The following is a 13,345-nucleotide window of genomic DNA, read 5'->3' as shown; positions in this document are numbered from 1 at the left end:
GAAAGACCTGACCGTCCCCGAGCCCGACACCCATAAAGGGTCTGTGCTGAGGTGGATTAGTCAAAGAGGAAAGCCGCTTGCAGTTGAGGGAGAGGAAGGCCACTGTCTCCTGCCTGCCCCTGGGAACTGAATGTCTCAGTATAAAACCCGATTGTACATTTGTTCAATTCTGAGATGGGGGAAAAACCGGCCTATGGTGGGAGGTGAGACATGTTTGCAGCAATGCTGCCTTGTTATTCTTTACTCCACTGAGATGTTTGGGTGGAGAGAAACATAAATCTGGCTTATGTACACGTCCAGTCATAGTACCTTCCCTTGAACTTCATTATGACATAGATTCTATTGCTCACATCTTCGTTGCTGACCTTCTCCTTATTATCAACCTGCCCTCCTACTACATTCCTCTTTGCTAAAATAATAAAAATAATAATCAATAAAAACTGAGGGAACTCAGAGGCCGGTGCCGGTGCAGATCCTTGGTATGCTGAGCGCCGGTCCCCTGGGCTCACTGTTGTTTCTCTATACTTTGTCTCTGTGTCTTATTTCTTTCCTCAGTCTCTCATCCCACCCGACTAGAAATACCCACAGGTGTGGAGGTGCAGGTCACCCCTTCAAGTGAGTGCTGAGAAACGGACGGGAGCCTTGTTTGGTTTCCTCCTCCTCAGGACAAACAGGAGAGTGTGGTGGGCAGATGGGAGGAGACCAATGTGCAAACTGTCCGCTCAGCAGACTGTGCAGTTTCTGTTCTTGGTTGTGCTGGGGGTCTCAGAAATCTTATTCAAAATTTTGCTTTCCTCCCCCACTGGTTGTCCTTTTCATAGACATCTCACCCATGATAGCAGGGAATCAGTCCCTCTAAAGTATTCCCTAAGAACAACAAAAAGATTATGAAGGTGATGATGAGGATAAAGAGGATGACGACAGACACCATGGCATCATGAACCCTTACTGAGGGCTTCCTAAAGGCCAGGCTCTGAGCTCTGTGCTCTATGCAGCTTGTTTCATTTCATCTGCATGGTCTCCACGTTATTAGTGCACATTTCAGGATGATTTTACAGACTAGAAAAGGAGCAACGCTTTTCCATATAACTCTTACTAGATCATGAAGTCAAAAAGGGTGAAGTCCAATTTGAACCATCCAGTCTAAGTCCAGACACATGGCATTTGGCCAGTCCTCTCCCTACAACCAACCTGCCCTCTCAAATCCTCATCACTCAGGCGGATGCCCCTGCTCACTGTGCCCTTCCCTTTGCGCGTTCCTTGTAGACCAGAGCTAGACCAGTGGGTGCCACAATCACTGTGTCAAGTATAGAAAGGGCAGCTGAGATCACATCGAGGATTCCAGAAAGAATTGGCACAGGATCATTCGGGGCGCATCTCTCCCTTGCCCCTGTTCCTGGCTTTCCTTACAGCTCTCGACTTCCTCAAAGGAGTCATCAATTCAGTTTGGCTTCCATTCCTATTGAGGAAGCTGGAAAGCGTTTCAAAAATGCTCCTCCGATGTGCCTGTGGTTAAGACCTCTGAGCTCTGCTTAAAACTTTTGGAAGCTGGGAGCCGTGGCTCATGCCTGTAATCCCAGCCCTTTGGGAGGCTGAGGCAGGCGAATCACAAGGTCAGGAATTCGAGACCAGCCTGGCCAACATGGTGAAACCACGTCTCTACTCAAAATAGAAAAAAATGAGCCAGGCGTAGTGGCGGGCGCCTGTCATCTCAGCTACTTGGCAGGCTGAGGCAGGAGAATAGCTTGAACCTGGGATGCAGAGGTTGCAGTGAGCAGAGATCACTCCATTGCACTCCAGCCTGGGCAATGGAATGAGACTCCATCTCAAAACAACAAAAACAAAAACAAAAACAAAAAAAAACCCACAACTTTTTGAGAGTTGGAAGACCAGGAAGTATAGTACCCGGGACTTCGAGTCTGGCCATGAATTTTGAATACCACCCTTTCTACTTCTCTGTATGGCAAGGGGTGAGACGTCCATCCTCTGAGACTCAGCACTCTCACCTGACTTGATTTCCAGTTGATCCGATGGAAGTGAATGATGATTAAGCCGATCGTAGGCGCCCGCTGTGTGATCTCTAGGTGACGGATGCATAAAGTAAAGGCAAAGTGAATTTTAGATACATTCCTTAAGATTTTCAGCTTCAACTCCACACAATTCAACGGAAATATCCCCTGACCTGAAGTTCTGCTTTCCCTGCATTCCAGACAGGACATTTTGTTTTGTCCTTCTCTCAGTAAGTACTGAGTACTGTGAGAGGAACAGGGGAGTCTCTTTTGCTTCTGATTCCCCAGAGCCTATATCTTGCTTGGCACATAGGAGACAGCAAAAGTCAAAATCTATATTAATGATTGAATTGACACTTCCTTGCTTCACCAAAATTGGCTGTCATCAGCATGACTTTGACTTACTTGATTCTTTTTGTTTTTTGTGTTTTGAGACGGAGTTTTGCTCTCGTTGCCCAGGCTGGCGTGCAGTGGTGTGATTTCGGCTCACTGTAGTCTCTGCCTCCCAGGTTCAAGCCATTCTCCTGCCCCAGCCTCCCGAGTAGCTGGGACTACAGGCACGCGCCGCCATACCGGGCGAAGTTTTTGTATTTTTTGTATAGGCGGGTTTTCACCATGTTGGCCAGGATGGTCTTGATCTCCTGACCCCGTGATCCGCCCTCCTCGGCCTCCCAAAGTGCTGGGATTACAGGCGTGAGCCACCATATCCGGCCAAACTTTCTGATGAAAACTCTAAGTCCACCTAAGCTAAGGACAGGAGTTAGAGCTTCCATGAATTTTAAAACAAGACCCACCGATTTGAGTAAGCAATTACTCTCTCGAAGGAGAAAAGTCCGAAAACAGAATGATGAAATCACTAGGACCTAACTGGCATGTGGAACTATTTTCTGCTTATGAACTATCAACTTTCATTTCATTTCCAGATGGCATGGTCTCAGCTGTTACACAGTGTTTACAAATGTTCTAAATCAAGGGAATTTGTATCAATCTAGTAGAATAAATAAAATATTTGAGTTCTTAATTTCCTTTAATTAGGATAACCTTTTTCTTAAAGTGAAGACAGTGGTTTTATTATATCTTTTTCTTCGGAAAAGATAGGCTGTATTTTCTAGCAATTACGAATTTGTTATATATGATGATCTGGTTCTTGGAACGTTCTCGAAGCTAGTGTCTCTAAGGCAGGTGTGTACAGCAAGAGGAGAATAACACAGCAATCGATGTTGAAAGCACTATAAGGCAATTGAGCTTGTCAGAACTACAAAATATTGCTGAGTGTGGATTGCTCTGAAACCTGCAAACATTACTGGTGAATTGCTTCTATCCAAAATGCAGACACAATGCTGGGTATTGGTTTACTTGTTTCGGATTTTTCAACCCTCTTTTCCAGGCAAAAGAGGGTTGTATCCAAATGATACAGACCCACAGAGTCTAACAGATGTCTCTATATTCCTCCTCCTCAAACTCTCAGAGGATCCAGAACTGCAGCAGGTCGTCGCTGGGCTGTTCCTGTCCATGTGCCTGGTCACGGTGCTGGGGAACCTACTCATCATCCTGGCCGTCAGCCCTGACTCCCACCTCCACACCCCCATGTACTTGTTCCTCTCCAACCTGTCCTTGCCTGACATCGGTTTCACCTCCACCACGGTCCCCAAGATGATTGTGGACATCCAGTCTCACAGCAGAGTCATCTCCTATGCAGGCTGCCTGACTCAGATGTCTCTCTTTGCCATTTTTGGAGGTATGGAAGAGAGACATGCTCCTGAGTGTGATGGCCTATGACCGGTTTGTAGCCATCTGTCACCCTCTATATTGTTCAGCCATCTTTAACCCGTGTTTCTGTGGCTTCCTAGATTTGTTGTCTTTTTTTTTTTTTTTCTCAGTCTTTCAGACTCCCAGCTGCACAACTTGATTGCCTTACAAATGACCTGCTTCAAGGATGTGGAAATTCCTAATTTCTTCTGGGAACCTTCTCAACTCTCCCATCTTGCATGTTGTGACACCTTCACCAGGAACATCAGTATTTCCCTGCTGCCATATTTGGTTTTCTTCCCATCTTGGGGACCCTTTTCTCTTACTGTAAAATTGTTTCCTCCATTCTGAGGGTTTCATCATCAGGTGGGAAGTATAAACCTTCTCCACCTGTGGGTCTCACCTGTCAGTTGTTTGCTGATTTTATGGAACAGGCATTGGAGGGTACCTCGGTTCAGATGTGTCATCTTCCCCGAGAAAGGGTGCAGTGGCCTCAGTGATGTACATGGTGGTCACCCCCATGCTGAACCCCTTCATCTACAGCCTGAGAAACAGGGATATGAAAAGTGTCCTGCGGCGGCCGCATGGCAGCACAGTCTAATCTCAACATCTTCTTATCTGTTCCATTCCTTTTGTAGGGTGGTTTAAAAAAGGCGCCAAGGTCAAATAAGAATGACATCACAGGGTGAACACCCACTGTGACATTACGAGTAATACCTCCCTAGGATATAAAAAATACTGTCACAGAGTACACACACATGGGGTACACCCACGGTGATATTAGAAGCGCTATCTCCCTTAAATATTATGAAAAATATCACAGGGTGTGCACACTGTGTGATATGAGGAGTCATATTTACCCTGGATATCACGACTGATATCAAGGGTGTACACACACCGGGTACATGCACTGTGATATCAGGAGTTGCATCTCCCCAGGATATTATGAATAATATCACAGGGTATACACTACGTGTGAACATCCACTGTGATATTTGAAGTCATACCTCTCTATGAGATTACAAATAATATCAAAGTGTGTACACCCCTGTGACATATTAGGAGTAACATCCTTCTAGGGTATTGCAGATAACATCACAAGGTGCACACCTTCTGTGACCTTTTGCGCACACTTTGTGCCATTCAAGGAAACATCTCCCTAGGATATTACGAATAATGACACAGGCGGTTGACACACATGGTGTACATCTCCTGTGCCATCAGGAGTAATATTCCCCTAGGATATTATGAATAATATCACAGCAGGCGTACACATATGGTGTTCACCCCATGTGACATTAGGAGGAACATGCCCCTAGGATATTAGGAATAGTATCACAGGCGTTGAATACGCATGATATACACCCCCGGTGACACTGAAAGTAACATCCCCCTAGGATATTACGAATAATATCACAGGGAGTACACCCCGTGTGACATTAGGAGTAACATCCCCCGAGGATATAACGAATAATATCAGGGGGCGTACATACATTGTGACCTCAGTGGTAACATCTCTTTAGGATATTACCAATAATATCACAGGGTGTCCACTGACCGTGATATTAGGAGTCCCATTTTCCTAGGATATTATGGATAATATCACTGGAGGTGTTCACACACAATGTGTACACCATGTGTGTACACCCAATGTGATATTTGAAGTCATATGTCCCTAGGATCTTACGAATATTATCAAAGGGTGTGCACCCCATGTGACATTAAAAGTACCATCCCTTTTGGATATTCCGAATGCTATCACAGGCTGTGATATGAGGAGTGTGATATTAGGAGTAACCTCTTCCTAGGATAACCCATGTGATATTAGGAATAACCCCTTCCTATGATATTACGAATAACATCACAGAGTGTACACCCCTTTGACTTTAAAAGTAACACCCCCCTAGAATATTACAATAATATAACAGGGTGTACAACCCCTGTGACATTACGAGTAACATCTCCCTAGGATATTTCGAATGATGTCACTGGGGGCACACCATCTGTGATATTACCAGCAACATCTTTCTAGATTACGAATGATATCACAGGGTGCACACTCACTGTGATATTAGAAGGAATATCTCCCTAGGATATAAGCTATCACATCACAGAGTGTACACACATGGTGTACACCCACTGTATTATTAGAAGCAATATCTCCCTATGATATTATGAAAAATATCACAGGGTGTACCCTCTGTGGGATACTAGAAGTAATGTTTACAATGGATATTACAAATAATATCACAGGATGTACACACATGGGGTACACCCACTGTGATATTAGGAGTTATATCTCCCTAAGATATTACAAATAATATCCCAGTGGTTGTAGCCCATGTATGTACACCCACTGTGATCATTAAAGTAATATCTCTCCATAAGATTACAAATAATATCGAAGGCTGTACACCCACTGTGACATTAGGAGTAACATCCCCCTACAATATTGGGAGCAATATCACACGGTGTACACCCCTGTAACGTTAGGGGTAACATCCCCCCAGAATATTACTAATAATATCACAAGGTGTACACGCATTGTGACATTAGTAGTAGTATCCAGCTAGCATATTTTCAATAATATCACAGAAGGAACATACCTGTGACATTAAGAGTGCCATCGCCCTAGAATAGTAAGAATACTATCACAGGGTGTACACCCCCTGTGATATTAGGAGAATCATCTCATCAGAATATTACAAATAATGTCACAGGGTGTTATCTTCTGTGACATTAGGAATATAGACCCCTGGGAAATTATGAATACTATCACAGGGTGTACACCCCCGTGACATTAGGAGTAACATCCTTCTAGAATATCATGAATAATATCACAATGTGTACACCCCCTGTGTCATTAACAATACAATTGCCCTAGGATACTATGAAATAGAACACAGGGAGTACACGCCATATGACATTAGAAGTCATATCCCCCGAGGATATAACGAATAATATCAGAGAATGTACATGCATTGGGAGATCAGTAGTCACATCTCTTAAGGATAATACGAACAATATCAAAGGCTGTACACGCATTGTGAAATTAGTAGTGAACTCCTGCTGGGATATTACGAATTTTATGACAGGGTCTACACGCCCTGTGACGTTAGTAGTCACGTTTTCCTAGAATACGACGAAGAATATTAAAGTGTGTACAGGACCTGTGATTTACGAGTAACATTTCTATAGAATATTACACGTAATATCACTGTGTGTACACCCCGTGTGACGTTAGGAGTCACATCCCACAAAACTATAACGAAAAATTTCACAAGGTGTGCAACATCTGTGACATAAAAAGCAACATTTCCCTAGAATATGACGATAGTATCACAGAGTGTACACCCTCGGTGATATGAGGAGTGATAACTTATAAGGGTAATACGAGTAATTTGACAAGGTGTACGAACCCTGTGACATAAGGAGTGACATCCCTCCAGGATATTCCGAATCATACCAAAGGGAAAATACTCCGTGTGACAATAAAATCAACCTCCCCTTAGGAGATTAATAATAATAGCACAAGCTGTACACACATTGTGACATTATTATTAACGTCCCGCTAGGGTATTGCGAATAATATCAGAGTGTGTAGAGACTTGTGACATCAGGATTCACATTTCGCTACAATATCACGAATAATATCACAGGGTGTATACCCCCTGGAACTTAAACAGTGACACCTTCCTAGAATATGGAAAATAATGTCCCAGGGTGTTAACCAAGTGTGGCAGTAGAGAAAAAATACTAGGAGAAAGGGAGTAATATCACCCTCTCTCCCCCGCTGGATATTAAGAGCCACATCGCAGTGGGGAGAGGGCGCCCGCCGCGATGCGGGAAGTAATATCACCCGCCTCTCCCCCCCGGATATTACGATACAAATCGCAGGGGAGCGCCGCGCCCCCCGCGATGCGGGGAGTAAGAGCCAGCCCCTCTTGCCCCCCTGGCTCTTTTTTTTTTTTTTGAGACGGAGTCTGGCTCTGTTGCCCAGGCCGGAGTGCATTGGCGCGATCTCGGCTCACTGCAAGCTCCGCCTCCCGGGTTCACGCCATTCTCCTGCCTCAGCCTCCGGAGTAGCTGGGACTACAGGCGCCCACCACTACGTCGGGCTAATTTTTTGTATTTTTAGTAGAGACGGGGTTCCACCGTGTTAGCCAGGGTGGTCTTGATCTCCGGACCTCATGATCCACCCGCCTCGGCCTCCCAAAGTGCTGGGATTACAGGCGTGAGCCACCGCGCCCGGCCCCCCCTGGCTCTTAGGACCCCCCATCGCAGGGGGGCGAGGCGCCCCCCGCGATGCAGGGAGTAAGAACCAGCCACTCTTGCCCCCTGGCTTCTAGGACCCCCATCGCAGGGGGGCGAGGCCCCCCCCCCGCGATGCGGGGAGTAAGAGCCAGCCCTTCTTGCCCCCCTGGCTCTTAGGACCCCCCATCACAGGGGGGCGAGGCGCCCCCCGCCATGCGGGCAGTAAGAGCCAGCCCCTCTTGCCCCCCTGGCTCTTAGGACCCCCATCGGAGGGGGGCGAGGCGCCCCCCATGATGCGGGCAGTAAAAGCCAGCCCAGCATTCACCTTCTTCTGCTTTTCTTCCATGTGAGGACACCATTTCATGCTCTCTTGCCCTTCTGCCTCCCAACATGTAAGGACACAGTAAGAAGGCCCACACCAGACACCAGCACCTTGATCTTTGACTTCCCAGCTTCCAGGGCTATGAGAGAGTAACTTTCTGTTATCAATTACCCAGTTCAGATATTCTGTTATAACAGCAATAATGGACTAAGACACTCTGTAATCACCAAATCATTGCTAATAAAAGGCTACTTTGTTTAAGGGATGCACGTTAAACCCTGAGAAGAGCATAAGAGGAGCACATTGCTGAAAAGAAAACTGAAGTCTGCTTACTAGATGTACCTGCTCCCGAATTCTCCTGGCCATGCTCTTGGGCATTGGTTCCCATTGGCTGCCTTCTTCCTCAGGCCCCTGGCCCAGCTGCCCTTGTCTGGGACTCCTCCCTTTTGCATGAGAATTTCCCGCCTTTCCTTCTGTTTCTCCATCAGTCCCTACTTCTGATCCCAGTCCCAGTGAGGTATCCTCCAGATTGACAAATTATATGCTAATCTCTGCAGAGATGCACCTTGCTTCTCATAAAGGCAGACTTTTACCTGATTAAATGGTGAATTTAACAGCTCAGTCAGCAGCATCTGTGTTTGGGTTACTCATTCATCTCAGGGCCTCCCTAGAATGGCCACGTAGTTGTCTCTGCTTCTGTCTATTGAACTAGCTTTCCTTATATTAAACCATCCTTGTATGCCTGCAATGAATCCAGCTTGGTTATAGTGTATATGTATTTTGATTCCCTGTTGAATTCTGTTGACTAACATTTATAAATTTTGCATGTCCTTTCAGAATTAAAATTTGAAGGATGTTCTTGGAAGATGGTAGCTTGAGTAAATAGTACCTCTCCTGCTGACTTTCACTCCAACCCATTTCAGCCTCTGCTCTGCAGCACAGTGGGCAGAGAGGTCGTAAGGTTGTGGATAAGGTTTTAGGCTTCACTTGAAACTCTGGGTGGGATAGAACTTGGGTAACAGCATTGGAGACCATGGTCTGGGAGAAGATTGGAATGTGATGGGTCTGAAGAAAAACTTGGACCACAAAGAGCCACAGAACACAGTGAAGATCAGTGTCTGTCCTCTTCCCATTATACTTATCAAAATCCAAAAAAATGTACAACACGGAATGTTAACTCCAATGTGGACAATGGACTTGGGGTGATTATGATGTGTCCACACGGGCCCATTGATTGTAAGCAATGTACTGCTCTGGTGTGGCATGTTGATAGTAGGTGTGGCATGCTGATAGTAGGAGAGGCTGTGCATGTGTGGGGTCAGGTGGTTATGGGAGCTCTTTGCACTTTCTGCTTAATTTTGCTGTGAAGCAGAAATTGTTCCAAAAAATAAAGCCTACTGAAAAACGGTTGCAAATGAATTGAAGGTGATCATTAAGATTCAAATTAATGGCCTCAAAGATTAAGTAGAAGAAAAATCTTGAATTGACAGGAATACAAAGAAATTGAAAACATGAGAGAAAAGATTTGAAAACAGACCCAGGACATCAGGTGCAAATAACATAGGAGTTTCAGGGGGAGGAAAAGAGGTAGATGGAGGAGAGGCCGTGATTAAGCACAAAAAAAGAAAATTTCCTGAAACAAAGGAAAAGCTGAATCTGCCTGTTAAAAGGGCTAACCGAGTTTTGGGTAGAATTGATGGTGAAAATGAACCTTTAGGAATATTCTGGTAAACATGTATGAGTTGCTAGACACGAAGAACAAGAATATAGCAATATGTCACCAGTGTACTCACCTAAGAATACAGCAACATTTCAACAGTGTACTCACCCTAGAATACAGCAATACATCACCAGTGTACTCACCTCTGAATACAGCTACATGTCACCAGTGTACTTGTCCAAGAATACAGGAATATATCACCCACGTACTTGCCTAAGAATGCAGCAACATGTCAACAATGTACTTGCCTAAGAACATAGCAATATGTCACCAGTGTACACGCCCAAGAATACAGCAATATGTCACCAGCGTATTCACACAAGAATACAGCAACATGTCACCAGTGTACACGCCCAAGAATACAGCAACGTGTCACCAGCGTACTCATCCAAGCATACAGCAACATGTCACCAGTGTACGCGCCCAAGCATACAGCAACGTGTCACCAGCGTACTCACCCAAGAATACAGCAACATGTCACCAGCGTACTCACCCAAGCATAGAGCAACACGTCACCAGTGTACACGCCCAAGAATACAGCAACACGTCACCAGTGTACTCACCCAAGAATACAGCAACATGTCACCAGCGTACTCACCCAAGGATACAGCAACATGTCACCAGTGTACTCACCCAAGAATATAGCATCATGTCACCAGTGTACTAGCCCAAGAATACAGTAACATGTCACCAGTGTACTCACCCAAAAAGGCCAGTACTGTGACTACCTAAGCTTCCCCCAGCATGGCCACACTATGAGACCTGGGGCAGCCGAGACCCGGGAACTGCTCCAGGGCACCAGGACCCATCTGTCTGTGCTCACTCACCTTCCTCGGGTGCTCGCATGGGGCTGCCACTGACGACGAACTGCTGCAGCTCCTTGGTGATCTGGCCCTGGTCATGGGACAGGAACTGTAGGGTCAGGACCATAAGGAGCTTCACCACCTGTAGAATGGGAACAGAGGCTCATGATGAGTGGCAACCTATTTGATAATTTAAACAAATCTATTTGTTGAATGAGTGGAGAAACAAGGTGAGGTTTGAGTCCACAGTGGTCAAGAGCATGGGGGCTTCAGAAAAGGGCAGGACCAAGTTCAAATCCCTACACTTCGAATTTCTACTTCATGCCATGCAAAATTACTTTACCCCTCCTAACCTCAATTTCCTTCTGTGTGAAATCAGAACAATCAACTTTCCCTCCTCATTTTCTTTTTTTTTTTTTGGAGGTGGAGTCTCGCTCTGTCACCCAGGCTGGAGTGCAGTAGCGCAATCTCGGCTCACTGCAAGCTCCACCTCCCGGGTTGACGCCATTCTCCTGCCTCAGCCTCCCAAGTAGCTGGGACTACAGGCACCCACCACCACGCCTGGCTAATATTTTTTTGTATTTTTAGTAGAGACGGGGTTTCACCATGTTGGCCAGGATGGTCTCGATCTCCTGACCTCATGATCCCCCCGCCTCGGCCTCCCAAAGTGCTGGGATTACAGGCGTGAGCCACTGCACCCGGCCCCCTCCTCATTCAGTTTCTGTCAAGATTTCATGAGATAATACCTAGAAAACATCTAACCTGTTTACGTGGAAGATCATTTTTGTCATAATTAGTAGTGGGATCAATTTCACTGTTATTGTATATACAGCTCTGTGCCTCAAACCTGCAAAAAAAAAAAAGAAAATGTTAACTCTAAAAAGTGCTAGTGGTTTATAATGCTTATATTATTAATTATAGCCCTATTTAATCGCACAGACCTTGTACATGGCAGGTGCTCAATAAACACTTGCGGAATCAATGAATGTGGGCTCCAGAGCCACACTGTGTAGATTCTGTTCTGCCTCCACCACTTATTAGCTGTGCCATCTGGGCAAGTTCATTCACCTCTTTATGTCTCTGTTTCCTTTTCTGTAAAATATATCTAATACGAATCCCTAGCTTATTAAGTTGTTGCAAGGGGTGAATGATTTGGCATACAGTAGGGTCTTGTTAAACATTAGCTGTGATGAACTCCTTCCAAATCTTCATTTTCAGAGCCACAACGAGGCCACAGTGCCACCTGGAGTGTAAGCACACAAGATCACCAACTATGTTATCTTTCCACCATGGGTCCAAGGCTGGGTAGTGAAGGCCTGGAGGTTTCTCCTGCCTCTATCTTCCCAGTGCCCTCATGGAGACTTTTGTATTTTCCTCTTTACATCCCCACAGATAGGGTCCAGGTTGCCCGACACAGCTGGGCAATCCACAAGGCAGTGACCCCCTGTGCCAGCCCTGTGAGGTAGCTGGAGGATCATTGTTCCTTCCTTCTCAGGCTCTGGGCAGATGCCAGGGCTGGGGTGAACCACGCCCTCAAGTTTCTTGCTTTGGAGAGTCACATTTTCCCTTGGGAAGGAGGGTAAAGGTCAGAGGAGCCAGAGACCTGTGACCTGCTTGTGCCATGAGCCCTAACTATAAGGACCTGAACACTCTATATTAAAAGTCCAAAGCTTGGGGGCTCCACCGAGCTTCTCACCTCACGGCCTCTGCTAGGGAGGATGAATGCTTTGTCCTCCCAGAGCTTTGCGAGCTTGTAGCACACAGCCTCCCCAGCACAACATCTCTTGGAAACCTCAGACTTTGTCTTAAACATTCATGCAAATTTTGCATCTTATTTCCCATTATGTCAGCATGTTTTAGAAAAAACCCTCAACTTTCCTGAATATACAAGAGAATTTGACGTTGTAGAACATTGTGCCTTTTAAAAAAATTGTGTTATTTAAAAATTTTCCCCACCCCCCCTTCTGCCCCCCAAGACTGCCAAATCCTTTTTGAACAAATATTAGGAAATGCTTATTATGTGCCAGATATGATTCATGGTCTTGGGGATATAGCAGAAAACAAATACCTGGGTATGAAATAATCTGTACAACAAACCCCCATGATGTGAGTTTACCAATATAACAAATCTGCACCTGTGTCCCTGAACGTAAAAGTAAAAAAAAAAAAAAAAAAAGCAGTGGTTTGGGGTCTGGCCCACACTCTAATCCCCCGGAGACCTTTAAGCCACAATGTTGCCCAGGCCCCACTCCAGTGATTCTCATTTTACTGGTCGGTGGCAGCTTGGGTTTGGGAAATTCTAAATGCCATCCCCCCAGGTGATTTTACATGTAGCAGGGGTGAGAACAATTGATTCAGGGTAAAGAATGCATTCACTGTAGCTGGTTTCCATGCATACTGATGGGATTTGCCACATAGGAGCTTGAAAAATAGCTCTTCCTTATTAAAAATCAACGGACACCTCCAAGATGTACTTAGCTGTTCGGAT

At 45.5% G+C, this 13,345-nt stretch overlaps 2 pseudogenes across 2 annotated transcripts in view; one reads left to right on the top strand and one right to left on the bottom strand.

Moving 5' to 3' along the window:
- Positions 1-13,345, bottom strand: part of TSSC2 (tumor suppressing subtransferable candidate 2 (pseudogene)) — a 28,188-nt pseudogene that overhangs the window by 13,983 nt on the left and 860 nt on the right. Inside the window, exons 2-3 of the transcript NR_024248.1 lie at positions 11,620-11,704; positions 10,882-10,999 (exon numbers count right to left, since the gene is read on the bottom strand). The product of NR_024248.1 is annotated as a tumor suppressing subtransferable candidate 2 (pseudogene) (transcript). The remainder of the gene's footprint in view (positions 1-10,881; positions 11,000-11,619; positions 11,705-13,345) is intronic.
- OR7E12P (olfactory receptor family 7 subfamily E member 12 pseudogene) lies at positions 3,251-4,459 on the top strand (annotated as a pseudogene). Its single transcript, NR_044999.1, has one exon. The product of NR_044999.1 is annotated as an olfactory receptor family 7 subfamily E member 12 pseudogene (transcript).

Source organism: Homo sapiens, chromosome 11 (assembly GCF_000001405.40).
Source record: "Homo sapiens chromosome 11, GRCh38.p14 Primary Assembly".
Classification (NCBI taxonomy): Eukaryota; Metazoa; Chordata; class Mammalia; order Primates; family Hominidae; genus Homo; species Homo sapiens.
Note: the sequence above shows the minus strand (reverse complement) of the source record. Positions and strands in the feature narration are given on the sequence as shown.